General features: G+C 37.7%; 1 protein-coding gene across 10 annotated transcripts in view; it reads left to right on the forward strand.

The window, feature by feature from the left end:
• Positions 1–15379, forward strand: part of EXOC4 (exocyst complex component 4) — an 847874-nt gene that overhangs the window by 734095 nt on the left and 98400 nt on the right. For all 10 annotated transcript variants that reach the window (XR_007060126.1, XR_007060125.1, XR_007060123.1 and 7 more), the window contains one exon: positions 10320–10461. Coding sequence is in view for 2 of the 10 variants with exons in the window: in NM_021807.4 (NP_068579.3) it covers positions 10320–10461 (142 nt within the window). In the remaining 8 variants the exon portion in view is untranslated. The remainder of the gene's footprint in view (positions 1–10319; positions 10462–15379) is intronic.

Below are 15379 nucleotides of genomic sequence, written 5' to 3' on the forward strand. Positions count from 1 at the left end.
TTTTGGGGCTGGGCAAGGTTCCTCACGCCTGTAATCCCAGCACTTTGGGAAGCTGAGGTGAGAAAATCATTTGACCCCAAGAGTTTGAGACCAGCGTAGGCAACATAGCGAGACCCTTTCTGTACAAAAGAATTAAAAAATTAGCCAGGCGTGGTGGTGCTCACCTGTAATCCCAGCTACTTGGGAGATGAGGTGGGAGGATTGCTGTCTTAGAAAGAAAGAAAAAGAGAGAGAAAGAAAAGAAGGAAGGGAGGAAGGGAGAAAAGAGATGGAAGGAGGGAAGGAATGAAGGAAGGAGAGAAAGGAGGGAAGCGGGGAGGGAGAGAAGAAGGAAGAGGAAAGGAAAGAACTTATTTTATCCCAAGTTAGAGTAGAAAACTGTGTGGTGTCTTTCACCTCTGTACAAATAGGAAGAGGATTTGGAAATCATTATTATACCAAAATTTGATCTTCTAAAATGTTTTCAATGAGAAAATCTCATGGGATCATTCTTCACTGTCTTTTTCTATCTTCTAGAAAGTTTGAATTCACAGTGTTAACCTTTCCTTTCGTGCCGAGATAACCATCTTTCCCTTTTCAATTTCTCACTTGCCTGACAGCTGATACCAGTCTAAGCTAATATTGTAACAATTTTAGATAATATTGCAGATGCACAAGGACATCCTCATATGAATCAATTAAAGAAGTCACAGTGAGTTGCCATTGAAAGTGTGGCAGCTGCATCCTTGAAAGCAGATGCTCTTCTGGGTCTGAATGAGTCCAATTTTAACTAATTTTAAGACCTAAACAGATTTCAGTCTGGTTAATATTAGGATGTGGAACCACTTGAGACATCCTAATGTCCTAGTCTGATTACTTCTCCATGACAGTTTGTATGTTGACTTTCCTTGAGAGATGCTGGGTACTTAATGCCAGGCATTTTTATGTCAATCGTAAAGAGAGACCCCAAGTCATGGCTGCAGCAAAGTGCACTGACAACTCGTGAAATTGAAGTGGCTTCTAACAGCAGCATGATTTATAGGGAAAGAACTTGGGGTATAGGGATTCACCAGAATTGCTTTAAACTATATTTCTGTTAGATTCCTGAATCCCCAGAAACAGGCTATAATGAACTACTTCCCCATCCCTACTCTCTCTCTAGATTATACTCAGAAAACTAAGGAGAAAGTTAGAGTTGTAAATGGCAAGTTGCTCCTTCTTTTTTCTGATTTTTCTTTAACAATCTGTTATTATGTTCTTTGTCATATTGCATTGGTCAGTTTAATTAAAAAGGCATTGATTGAGCTTCTGTAATGCCTCTAGTTATTCTGCTGGCCTTGAATGGGGGAAAATATATATAATACATAATTCTTTCACTGAAGTAATTAATGATCTGGAAGGGAGACATAGTTAATGGAATATACCTTCTATTCTAGAATTGAGAGGGGTAGGGGAACATCCAGAAGAGCCATTGACCCTTCCTGGGGAATCAGAAAAGACTTTCTGAGCCAGAGAAGGCATGAATAGTTTTGAAAGAGGAGTAAGAGCCATCAAAGGTGTAGAATCATGAGACAGCATGATATGTTTAGGAAATTTGCTTTAGACAGGTGGTAAATCAAACGGCCCAGGGTTGGAGAGGGGATACGCTGAAGAGAAAAAAGAAAGTGGTAAGAGATGGAGAAAATCTGGAGGGTTGGACAGAAATAAAAAATCTTGGAAAGCTTTGCTAAGGAGCTTAGACTTGATCATATAAGCCTTGGGAAACACTGATGTTATTTATACAAGAAATTAACATAGTCAAATTTGTGTTTTGGGTAAATAACTTATCTGACTCATATTTAATTAGATAAAAGGGGGCCAGGTAAGAAGCAGAGACACCAGTCAGGTAACTATTGCAGTAGTCCATGGAAGAGATGGGGTCCAAACCAAGAAAGTGGCAGTAGATAACAGAAAAGAAAAAATAAATATTAAGAAAATATTTGTAAATAAAATTGGTACAAATTTTTCTTTGCTAGAGAGAGTCAAAAATTACACTCACGTTTGCAGCTGGGATTCCCAGATTGATGTATCACCTATAAAAAGAGAATTCAGGATAGAGAACAGATGCTAAAGAAAGATAATGAGTTTAGTTTTGAACACATTGCATTTGAGATGCCTATGGGATATACAGGTAGCAGTATCTTGCAAATCATTAATCAAATAAGGTTTAGGAGCCATCATTTCATGGATAATAGTGTAAACAATGAAAAGGGATGAGCTCACTCAGAACATATTGGCAAGTAAGGAATACCACTAGAGGAAAAAGTCCCCAGAAACACCGGCATTATGGATGGACTAAAGGAAGGGGATTCAGTGAAGGAAACTATGGAAGAAATGCCAGAGAGAGAAAACAACACCCAGAAGAGTATGCCATATAAGCCAAAAGAAGATGATTTCAAGAAGTAAAGGGCCAGTGAATTCAGAGATAGCAGAGAGCCTGCATGAGATGAGGACTGAAGAGCAGCCAGTAGATTTGGCAATTACAGTATCATTGATGGCTATTACCAGAAAAGTTTTGAATAAAAAGGTGAGGGCAGAGTCAGATTGTGGCACACTGAAGAGTTAATAGGAGGTGGGACTGGAGAAAGTCAGTGTTGAGATTCTTTTGAAGTGTTTGTTGAGGACTAACAGGGAGCAGGTAGGACAAAGGGCCTGAGGAGAACAGCGCGAATTTGGAAAAATTGCTGAGAAAGGGAAGGAGGTAGCCAAGCACCAGGGAAAGGATTGACAAGTGGTACCGCAAGCTTCTTTTGAAATTAAAATCCAGAACGTTTTAGTGGCAACAATCTATACATTTTTGTCTTTTTAAATTAATATATTATAGCTGTACGTATTTTGGGGGTACATGTGATATTTTGATAAATGTATACAATGTATAATGATCAAATCAGGGTAACTGGGATATCCATCACCTCAAACATTTATCTTTTCTTTATGTTGAGAACATCACAATTCTCTTCCATCTATTGTGAAGTATACAATAAATTATTGTTAAGTATAATTACCGTGTGGTACTGTCAAATACTAGAACTTATTTCTTCTAAGTGTATTTTTGTGCCCATTAACTAACTTTCCCCTCCCCCCCCCACCCCTTTTTATTTCTCAGCCTCTAGTAATCACCATTCAGCCTCCATGAAATTCCCTGTTCAGGTCCCACATTTGAGTGAGAATGTGTGATATTTGTCTTTCTGTGCTAGCTTATTTCACTTAATATGATGACCTTCAGTTCCATCCATGTTGCTCGAATGACAGGATTTTATTCTTTTTGTTTGTTTTTGAGATGCAGTCTCACTCTGTAGCCCAGGCTGGAGTGCAGTGGCGCAATCTCGGCTCACTGCAACCTCCTCCTCCTGGGTCCCGGTTCAAGCAATTCTCCTGCCTTAGCCTCCTGAGTAGCTAGGATTACAGGCACGTGCCACCATGCCCAGCTAATTTTTGTATTTTTAGTAGAGACAGGGTTTCAGCATGTTGGCCGGGCTGGTCTTGAACTCCTGACCTCGTGATCCACCCACCTCGGCCTCCTGAAGCGCTGGGATTACAGGCATGAGCCACTGTGCCCCACCAGGATTTTATTCTTTTTATGGGTGAATAATATTCCATTGTGTATATCTACCACATTTTCTTCCACCATTCATGAATTGGTGGATATTTAGGCTGGTTCCCTATTTTGGCTATGGTGAATAGTGCTGCAACAAACATGGGAGTGCAGATGTCTCTTTGATATACTGATTTCCTCTCTCTTGGATATACCCAGCAGTGAGATTGCTGGCTCATATAGTAGTACTATTTTTAGTTTTTGAGGAAACTGCATGCTGTTTTCCATAATGGTTATACTAATTTACATTCCCACCAACAATGTATGAGCATTCTTCCTTCTCCACATCCTCACCAGCATTTGTCTTTTTTATAATAGTCATTCTCACTGGTGTGAGATGATGCCCCCTTGTGGTTTTTATTTGCAGTTCCCTAATGATTAGTGATGTTAAGCATTTTTTTCATATACCTGTTGGCCATTTGTATGTCTTCTTTTGAGAAATGTCTATTCAGGTCTTTTGCCTATTTTTATAGTCAGATTATTTGTTGTTTTTTTTGTTTTCGTTTTTTGTTTTTTGTTTTTGCTATTGAGTTGTTTGAGTCCCTTACATATTCTGGTTATTCATCCCTTGCCAGGTATATACTTTGAAAATAATTTGTTTCATTATATATGTTGTCTCTTCACTTTGTTGATTGTTTCCTTTGCTTTGTAGAAGCTTTTTTGGCTTGGCGTAATCCCATTTGTTTATTTTTGCTTTTGTTGCCTGTGCTTTTGAGGTCTTACCCAAAAATCTTTGCCCATATCAATGTCCTGTAGCATTTCCCCAATGCTTTTTTCTAGTAATTTCATAGTTTTTAGGTCTTATGTTTAAATCTTTAATCCATTTTCAGTTGACTTTTTTAATAAGTTAAAAAATGAGCATCTAGTTTCATTCTTTGGCATACAGATAGCCAGTTTTTCCAGTACCATTTATTAAAGAAACTGCCCTTTCCCCAATGTGTGTTCTTGGTGCCTTTGTCAAAATGAATTGGCTGTTAAGTGTGTGAGTTTATTTCTGGGTTCTCTATTCTGTTCCATTGGTCTATGTGTCTGTTTTTTATGCCAATACCATGCTGTTTGGGTTACCATAGCTTTGTAGTACAATTTGAAATCAAAGTAGTGTGATGCCTTCAGCTTTCTTGTTTTTGCTCAGGATTGCTTTAACTATTCTGGGTCGTTTGTGATTCCATTTGAATTTTAGGATTCTTTTTTCTATTTCTGTGAAGAATGTCATTGGTATTTTGATAGGGATTGCATTGAATCTGTAGGTTGCTTTTGGTACTATAGACATTTCAATAATATTAATTATTATTTCAATCCAGGAGTGTGCATATCTTTCCATTTTGTGTGTGTGTCTTCAATTTCTTTCATCAGTGTTTTATAATTTTCCTTGTAGATGTCTTTTACTTTGATTAAATTTATTCGTAGGTTTTTCTTATTGTAAATTGGATTTTTTTTCTTGATTTCTTTGGTGGATTGATTGCTGTTCGCATCTAGAAATGCTACTGGATTTTTGTTTTGTTTGTTTGTTTTTTTGATACAGGGTCTGACGCTGTTGCCTAGGCTGGAATGCAGTGATGCAATCTCAGCTCACTGCAACTTCTGCCTCCCAGGCTCAAGTGATCCTCCCGCCTCAGCCTCCTGAGTAGCTGAGATTATAGGCACCCGCCACCAAGCCCGGATAATTTTTGTACTTTTATTAAAGACAGGGTTTCACTATGTTGGCCAGGTTGGTCTCTAACGCCTGGTCTCAAGTGATTTGCCCGCCTCAGGCTCCCAAAGTGCTGGGATTACAGGCATGGGCCACCGCACCTGGCCTGATTTTTGTATGTGGATTTTGTATCCTGCAACTGTACTAAATTCATTTACCAGTCCTAAGAGTTTTGGGGTGGAGTCTTTAGGATTTTCTAAATATAAGATCATGTCATCTGCAAACAAGGATAATTTGATTTCTTCCTTTCTATCTTGGATGCCGTTTCTTTCTTTATCTTACCTAATTGCTCTGGCTAGGATTCCAGTACTATGTTGAATAAAAGTGGTGAAAGTGGGCATCCTTATCTTATTCCAGAACTTAGTGTAAGGCTTTCAATTTTTCCCCATTCAGTATATTAGCTGTGGGCCTGTCATAGATGGCCTTTATCATGATGAGTTATGTTCCTTCTATACCCAGTTTCTTGAGAGTTTTGATCATGAAGGGATATTGAATTTTATCAAGAACTTTTTCTGGCATCTGTTGAAATGATCATATGATTTTTGTCCTTTATTCTGTTGATGTGATGTATCGCATTTATTGATTTGCATATGTTGAACCATCTTTTCATCCCTGGGATGAATCCCACTTGATCACAGTGAATGATATTTTTAATGTGTTGTCAAATTCTATTTGCTAGCACTTTGTCAAGGATTTTTGCATTTATATTCATCAGGGATATTGGCCTGTAGTTTTCTTTTTTATTGTTTCACTTTGTCTAGTTTTGGTATCAGCGAACAATATGTTCTTTTGTTTTCCTGTCAAATGATGAGTTGTAGAATTGACTCAATGTTACATGAGTTTTAGGACAATTATAGTGAAAGAAAAGTATTCAAGGGAGTTGAGGTTTATGGTCAAAGAGTAGCTCAGGGAATCAACCATGCAATCCATGCTGAGGATCCTAAGAGGGACTTTTTCTACCAGGAGAAAATGAAGGGATTACAGCATTAAAGTTATAATGGAAATGAGGGTGGGAGAGAGTTGAAAGAAGAAAAGTTTTTGATCTGAGAATATGATACTAGAATTTAAAATTTCAGAGGTTGAAAACAGGATTTAACTTGGCAGCAAGTTATTAATATATATTTTTAATTTGCAGTGATTTAAAGAGGTGTTTGTTTTTCTAATATAGCAAAAAGTCTGAAGTCAAGCAGTTGCTTCTTTTGGCCAATGGTCCAACAATACTTAGTCCAGCACCTCTCTGATTCTTGGTCTTTTCCTCTTAATAGGAAGATGATGCAACTTCAGATACCTCAATCAAATCAGAAAAGCAGGGAAAGTGGGAGCAAGTGGTGGCCACAGCCTCAATTCTCCTTTTATCAGGAAAAACAAAAGACTTCCCAAAAGCCACAAAAGACTCTACTTAGGGGGTCAGTGGACAGACTATGACACACGACCACCTCTAGCAACAAATAGGGCTGAGAATACAAATATTTAGCCTTCCAGAATCTGTAATGGAGTGAGCAAGGGAGAGAATGGAACTGGAAGTAACTGTTGGTTCGCCAAAAAGGCAGTGTCTGCTCCAAAGACCAATGTTCAGCTTCCTTTCGTGGAACAATGTTTATGTAGTACAGAAAGCCACAATCATCCTGCCACAAACAGCTAACTAGGTGACTTAAAGATGCATGCTTTATGATGTTCCCCTCCCTGTGCCCATGTGTTCTCACTGTTCAACTCCCACTTATGAGTGAGAACATGCAGTGTTTGGTTTTATGTTGCTGTGTTAGTTTGCTGAGGATGATGGTTTCCAGCTTCATCGATGTCCCTGCAAAGGACATGAACTCATTCTTTTTTATGGCTGCATAGTATTCCGTGGCATATATGCACCATGCCTATCGGGGGGAGGAGGGCAAGGGGAGGGAGAGCATTAAGACAAGTACCTAATGCGTGCGAGGCTTAAAATCTAGATGATGGGCTGATAGGTGCAGCAAACCACAATGGCGCCTGAATAACTGTGAAACAAACCTGCACGTTCAGCACATGTATCCCAGAACTTAAAGTAAGCTAAAATAAAAATAAAAGATGGCATGCTTTATGCAGTGGTCACAGGAGGAACAGACATACTAGGAATGATCTGATGTCATCCATCCCTAGTATTAGGAAAACAGCTCAAAGTGCATGTCTTCATAAAGCGATCAAGCACTTACATATTTAAAGCCCAATACGCGTGGGCTCTTCTGATATGAAGGGTAATACTATAGATAAATATACAACAATGTAGCCTTTAAAGGGTATGTACAAGGTTTTGTGTGTGTGTGTGTGTGTGTGTGTGTGTGTTTCTAGTAATCTCATACCTTAACTGTAACCTCCCAAGCAGATTGTGTTAGCATTGCTTTTTTATAGATTTTCATTTGACATTGAAGAGCTAGTTAATTGCTTTTGTGGTGTCTTAGATTGCCATGCTTAGTATTTCTTTGCTCAGTATATTCTTTCTTGTTAAGAAAACTTTGTAAGTTTCAGTAAGCCCTGAGGAGTTCACAAGCCAACTTTCTAGTAGAGCTCTGGGCATAATTTTTCATGTTGCTTTAATAAAATGTTATCTTTTTGCCATAGATTATGGTCAAGTGAAATGTACAGTGTGCTGTTACCTGAAACTACTTTTTACCTCACTCATTCTAAGTTTTACCTCAGCAGCTAATCTTGCCATAGACTTACTCAACTTAGATATTTTTTTAATTTGTAATTTGACAGTGGTCAATTGCCACATGATAAAATAATGTATTTACAAAATAAGAAATGCAAATTTTTTAAGTTTCTTGGCGGGATTTGTCCAGAATGCCTTTGATGGAATTTGGTCTATTAGTATAGCTTTGGACCTCAGATTAGGAGTGAGACTTCAAAGTCCAATTTCTGCCTCTTCTCATTGATACGTAGATAACTCTCCATGCTACAGTCACTATCACCCAATAGAGGAACTGAAGGGCTGAAAAGCCCTAAAATGTTTTGAAATATCATAGTTGTATAGTTGCTTTCCCTCTAGCCTGTTCCATGAAAATATTGCAAAAGCAGTGATCTTGTCTTGGCGATCAAACAACATGATTAATGCTAACGTTAGAGAGGAGATGCAATGTCATGCATCTAGGCTCCAGCAGATCAAGTTAGTAAACATCTAGGATGATACCAAGGCTGGCAATAATTTAAAATCTACATTGCTACATTCCCTTCCTCCTCACCCATCAGTTCCCTTGAACTACATTCTTTTTTTTTATGTTTGCCATGTTATTTTAATTTATTAGAGTCTGGTTCCACAGAGGAGAACTTAGCCTTACATGTTAGAAGCCTGGATTGTCTATCCAGGCCCTTTTCTGGACTTAGCAAAGTTTAAGAATGGATATAGTGCTGAAAGGTCATAAGTGTAGACACTACACACTACAGCAAGATGTTGGCTCTCTACCCTATAAGGTGAATGACCTTCTGAGTTAGTGATGCCTCACCAATTCCCATGTTCCCTAAGTCCAGAGAGCCTCTTTCTTCCAAAGGACTCTTTGAAAAAGAGAAGGATGTTCATACAGAAAAGCAAAACATATCAGAAATTGAATAAAGATTGATGGAATTATTTTGTAAGTATATGGTTGCTACAGCAACCATTAAGCTTAAGACCTAACCTGGACAAATCACTTGCTAAAGAATAATAATAATTGCTTATGTTTCTTGCTTATATTAAGTTTTATATGTTGTTATTCTAAGTGTTTTGCCTACATTAATTCATTTAACCCCATGATATAGATACTATTACCCTCACTTTACAAAATAAAATAATAAGGCAGAGAAAATTTAAATAATTAGCTCTTGGTCACATAAAGTAAATGTTGGAGCCAGGACTTAAAGCCAAACTTTGAGGCTCTAGAGAGCTAAGAAAACTTTTGAATGAGATCACCAAATTATTGTTGGTTGGGAATCTTTGAGAAATTGTGAGGACATGGGGATACAATAGAAGTTTAGAGATAAACAGATGTAGTTTTTTGTTTTTGTTCAGCTTTTTTTTGAAGAAAATGTCTAAGTGGTGCTAAATATTTTAATAAATCGTTTTGGAAATATATAGAAGGTAGCTTTATCAAATTTTCCAAAAAGACCTTCTTAGGGCTTTTAGTTGGCCATAAGCTATATATGAGTTGAAGTGGAATACAGCACACTACCACTTCCACCTCCCAGAATTTAGGGAGGTGTAAAGCGTCATGGCATCTAGAAAAAGGGAATTGATCATTCTCTCTAGACTGGTCAGCCCCTTCTGTAGTATTTATTCTGTTTTGTCCTGAGTTCTACATTTCAAGGGAAATAGAGAAAAATTGGAATGTTTTGGTAGGTAAATTTTGAGAATTATAATTTAATTCAATCATTAGAAGAATGGGTGAAGAACTGTGGACATTCCGCATAGAAAAGGGAAGACTTCAAGGAAGCCAAAATAGGTATCTTCAATACTTGTAGTACTGACTCATGTGTGAAGGATTACAAAGTTAGGTAAAATTAGAGCCAATGATTAGAAGTTAATGAAGGCAGATGTTGGCTTGATGTAAGATGGTCAAATCTTTCGGAGATGGAACAGGCTGCCTTGAAAGGTATTGAGTTTCCTTTCGCCAGCATTTGTGTAAGTGTGCAGCCAGAATGTGGACAGCCACTTGAAGGTGCACAGAAGATGGAGGCACAGACCAGATGGTTGGGCCACATGACAGTGAAGGCCTCTTCCAACTCTGAGGTTCTGTTTCTGTAGGTTGGTGCAAAAGTAATTATGGTTTTTGACATTGAAAGTAATACTTTTGCACCAACCTAAATATTATTATATGAATTGATTCAAGATAAGCCACTGCACTTCTATGTGTAATCAAATATAGAAATTGTCTATCATGTCTTGGACTTCTAATGCTGCCAACACTAGTGTTAACCAAGCTAGTAAAAACAAGATGAACAGCAAAATAATATGTCATTTCAGAAAAATCTGTAGGCATCTAATGAAATGATTGGTGTTTTATCCTTACCTTTCAGTGCTTTCTCCTGCTCAAGACAGCCACACGAACACGGATCTCCCCCCAGTGTCAGAGCAGATCATGCAGACTCTCAGTGAACTTGCCAAATCGTTCCAGGATATGGCTGACCGCTGCTTGCTTGTCTTACATCTGGAAGTGAGGTATGATACAGCCAAGCCCAGGACCTTGCAATTTGAATGCACTGCGGTTCATAAATCACTTGCTTATTTCCAGGCAGTATCACCATAATTTCTGGCTCATATTATTGATGTTATCCCTTTTTACACTGAAAGTGATTTTTAGCTGTATTCAGTGATTATTTGAGCGCACAGTGTATTGTGAGTGTGGTGATTCAGAGCTGGCATGATCTATGAAATCAGGTCACCTAGATTGGAATGTCACTATCAACTGGCTAGGTGATCTTAGGTCAGTTAATTAACTTTACAAACCACAGTTTCCTTATTTTAAAAATGGAAATGATAGTTTCTAACTTATAGAGATTTTATAAATGAAATAATAATTAGCACAATGTCAGCCACAAAGTAAGTGCTCAAAATATGGTAGCTTTGCTATTGTGGTGACTTTATTGTGATTGATATTTTTACTAAAGTGCTCTGCTAGTCAAGAAGGGAGTCACATTTGAAAAAGTAGAGGGAAACAGGTAAAAGAATTATACTAATATATTTTAGTTAACCCAGTATATCCAAAACAGCATTTCAATAGGCAATCAATGGAAGTGATTGAGGTATTCAGCATTTTCTTTTGCACTAAGCTTTTGAAATCTGCACATTTTGTACTTACAGCACATCACAATTTGGACTGGCCACATTTTAAGTGCTTGGTAGCTACATGTGCCCAGTACTAGCATAGTGGGCAGTTGCCAAGAGTGGCTGGGGCTGACTAGGAATGGGATTCTTTTCTTTAAGATAAAATGGTCAGAAGAAATGTGACAAAGTAACAAGAATGATCAGTCTGTACAAAGACCTAGAGGAAGAGAGTTTCAGACAGAAGGAGGCACACTCACAAAGGTCCTGAGACAAAATCAAGCTTGGCGGTTTTAAGAGCAGAGAGGAGGCTGATATGCTTGTAGGCTGATGAACAAGCTGGGTGGGGAGGACTGAAAGAATAAGGCACAGGAGACAGGCTGGAGCCCAATCCTGTGGAGTCATGAAGCCTGACACATTACAGGGTCTTACAGACCAAGTGAATCATTCAGATGTCATAGAAGCCATGGAAGAGTTTTAAGAAAGGGAGAGATATCAATTAATTAACATTTTTTAAAGGTCACTCTGGCTGTTGTATGGAAAAGGGATTGCAGGGAAAAATACAAATGGAAGCAGGGTGACCAGTTGAAAACAACTCTGAGCATCAAGGTGATAGAGGTAGAGATATGAGAAGCATAGGATTTGGGACATATGCTGAAGGTAGAGCTAATGAAGTTTGTTGACAGATTGTATTGGACACAGGGGCTGGTGCAATAAGAGGAAAGACTCAAGGAAAACCACTAGTTTGGGGCCAGAGCAACTGTGTGCCATTAACTGAGGGGAGAAACACTGAGGGAGGAGAAGGGTGGAAATCAAGTATGCCATTGAGAGATGTTCAGTTTGGGATGCTTATTAAACAACTAGGTAGCAATGTCAAAACATCAGGATCAGAAAGTGCATGGTGTGGTAATACATTCTATTCTGTATTGCTTTGGAACATGATTAACATTGATAGAATATTTTTCTTTTCATTTGAAGTCTTTACTAGATTTAGATTTTAAAAATGTAAATAGGACTTTGTTTGATAGGTGACCCTTGGGAATATGTTTGGACTCCAGTTAGAACTTGGATTTCTTTCCAGGGTGACTCCTTGTGTGTGCTACTTGCTTTTTATCCTTCATTACCATTGCCCAGTGAGTTACTTCCTTATTGCTTGTGAGAGCCTTGTGAGTGGAACAAGAGAAGTAACATTGCAGATTTAGAATCTGTGTTACGTGGCATTATTCCTGATGTTATTTCTCACATTAAGCTGTCCAGAAATAAAGCTCTTTCTGTATATTTTCTGATTTGTTTTACAATAATTTTCATATTTGGTATCTCTTTATTTACAAGCGGACAGAGAAATCAGGTGTTTTCTATGAACAAATATTTGCAATAGATGGAAGGAAATGAAAAATACCAAGTAATATTCTAATGCCGCTGTTACCTGAGTTACAAAGGAAAACAAGGGAATACCAAATTAGTTACTATCACAATTCCTGGAATTTATACTATTGATCGTGTGCTTATACATATTCTACATTCAGAATTGTTTACTTATGTGTAGTTAATTCCAAGTGGGATATTTGCAACACATTTGAATAAGATCTTTTAAATCCTTAACCCCTATTCTGCCCTTTTGATACATCTTGGCAATACTCTTCTTAATACTGAACATGCTTTAGTCATTAATTTACAAGAAACTATACAGTGCTATAGCACTGGTTGCCATATCTTCTTCAACATTAGTCTAAAAACAGAAAAATGTCATTTTTAAGAATGAATATCAAAAAAGACTGAATTTTAGAGCCCTGGATGTAGAATTATCTTTCCTTGAATTTAACTCAGAACACGAAGCATGGGATTTTTTTAAATTAAATTTCCTCACTTCCTCATGTAACATGGTTCCAACACTCAGGTTGCTTTCTAATGAGTATGCTCCATTTTGTCTTTGTTCCTTTTAAAGTAAGGTAGATACAACTAGCAGAATACACCACATAAGGCTCGGATAGTGAATGTAGATGCACTTACTCTATCCTGGTCACGTTAACAATTTTTTTTCAGTTTGCACAGTGATGATACAAAATGAAAAAGACAGATTTCATGCCACTCTAGTATAATAACGCTAGAATAGAGGTGTCTGCTAAGTGCTCTGGGGGCGTGACTGTGGTAGAGACCATCGAGCAGCTCTTCCAGGTGTGGCTTGTTCATTGTGATGGCTGGCCCTGAAACCTAATATCCTGCTGTATATAAGGTGCTCAGTAAAAATGTGATTAAGAATTAGTTGGTTTGAAACCAAACCCAGATAAAGTAAGGGCTACTTTACAAAACAAAACCTGTTGTCTTTAAAGAAAATGAATTGGTTTGCAGTTTCTGTTTTTACATAGCAGTCCACTTGTAAGTCCACTGCATTATCTTAAGAGGTACAGAGGCTGTGTGGCCAATATCATTCTCATCAACTAATGTTTGTTTTGTTCCCATCCTGCTGTAAAAAAAGAATTAGAACGTAGGCCCGGTTGTCCAGGAGCTGGTGTGGTGAAAAAGTGGCTGGTTAGCTCCTGTCTCTGGCACTTTTAGCCAAGAAACCACTGTAATAGTACAGATAGAAGAAAACAATTCATGGAAAAAAGTAATGGGATATGCTAGCAAAAAGTCCAGAACAACTTCAGATGCCAAAAATTGGTCTTGTTCCCCCAAATATCTTTATATCCATAGCCCATATTTTTCTTTGACATTGTTAAAATTCAAACCAAAAACTGTTTTCCAATCCAGCGCAGTCTGTGTTGAAGGATCCATCTAAGGAGTGTTTGACATTTTACCTGTGTCATTGTAGGTCACATTTTAACCACCAAGCAGCCCCTTTCCACAGTTTGAAGCATAAAGCAAATGATACCCCCAAGAGATGAAAGACATGGTGAGCCCATTAAAAACTATTGAGGTTTGTTTTTTCTATTTGAACTTTAGAAGAAGAAAATTAAGTTGCCATTTGAGTCCAAGATGCCAAGAATGTCACCTTTATCAGCTGATTTTTCTCACCATCAGGAGGGCTCTAAGTAGGTTCAACAGCAACTGCCTATCACTGTTGGGATCCTAAGTGTGCACTCTCTGAAAATCATCCACCCCACTGTGTAATCAGCAGTGTTTGCAGAATACGTTAATGTCAAAGTCATAGTAAGGTCAGCAACAACAGGCCAGAATTTAAATTTAAAAAAATACTTTATTTGAATTTGGCATTCGCTGATGACTATTTTAATTTCTTTTTTTTTTTTAATCTCTAATCACTTGGGAAGAAGATAATACCTTAAAGAAAGGTTATATGTCTTCTCCCCCAGTAGCTTGAAGGTCTCATAAGCTCTCACCTCCAGTTCATAAGAATTTCCTAACTAGTCACTCTACTTCCAGTTGCTTCCATTCTCTGCTATTAATCCACTTGTATACTGTGCCAGAGTGATCTTGCCAAAGCTCAGGTCTGATTATATTATTCACTTAAAATCCCCCTAAGGATCCCTATGGCTTCTAGGATAAAGGCTTGATTCCCTACATGGCCTTCAGAGCCTGTGCTGACCTGGCCTGTGCCCATCTCCCCAAGCTCGTGGAGTGCCTGTAATGTGGGATCTGTGTGCAGCAGAAAAGAACTGCTCACCAGTCCTCAGAACATCCTGCATTTATAGTCTCATGCTATTTTACATGGTCTTCTCATTGCCTGGAGTCATAATGTCTGTCATTTACTTTAAAAATACTTTAGCATAGATGCTTTAATTTTATTTTCAACAAAGTGCTACTTCATTTAAATTTCAACCACAGTAGCAATCAGTGTGCTAGTCATGAATCCCATTCCAGAGTTGGTCAACTTTCATTCTGTCAGAAAGCTCACATTCCAGAGGAGGCTACAACCAGTGCCATTACTGGTATTCTTATCAAAATTATACATTTGTGCCAATTAGTACTTGAATATCAGAATGAGTTTTTATTGGTGAAATTAGTCATTAGTTAATTAGCAACTGTTAAGATGAGCATCTATCAGTAAAAATGAGCAGTAGTCAAGATACTTGGATTCTCTTGGATGAACTGCTTATAAGAATATGACACATCCCATATAAAACTTAGCTTAAAATGGATCATTCAACTAAATGTAAAATCTAAAACTCTAAAACTTCTAGAAGAAAACATAGGAAAAAATTTTTATGATCTTTTTTAGGCAAAGACTTCTGAAATGTGACACTAAAAATACCATCCAAAAATAAAAAAGTTATAAATTGAACTTCATCAAAATTAAAACCATTTTTGATAGACATTGTCAAGGTTAAAATACAAGCCAAAGACCAGGAGAAAATAT

This window comes from Homo sapiens, chromosome 7 (genome assembly GCF_000001405.40).
Source record: "Homo sapiens chromosome 7, GRCh38.p14 Primary Assembly".
NCBI lineage: Eukaryota > Metazoa > Chordata > Mammalia > Primates > Hominidae > Homo > Homo sapiens.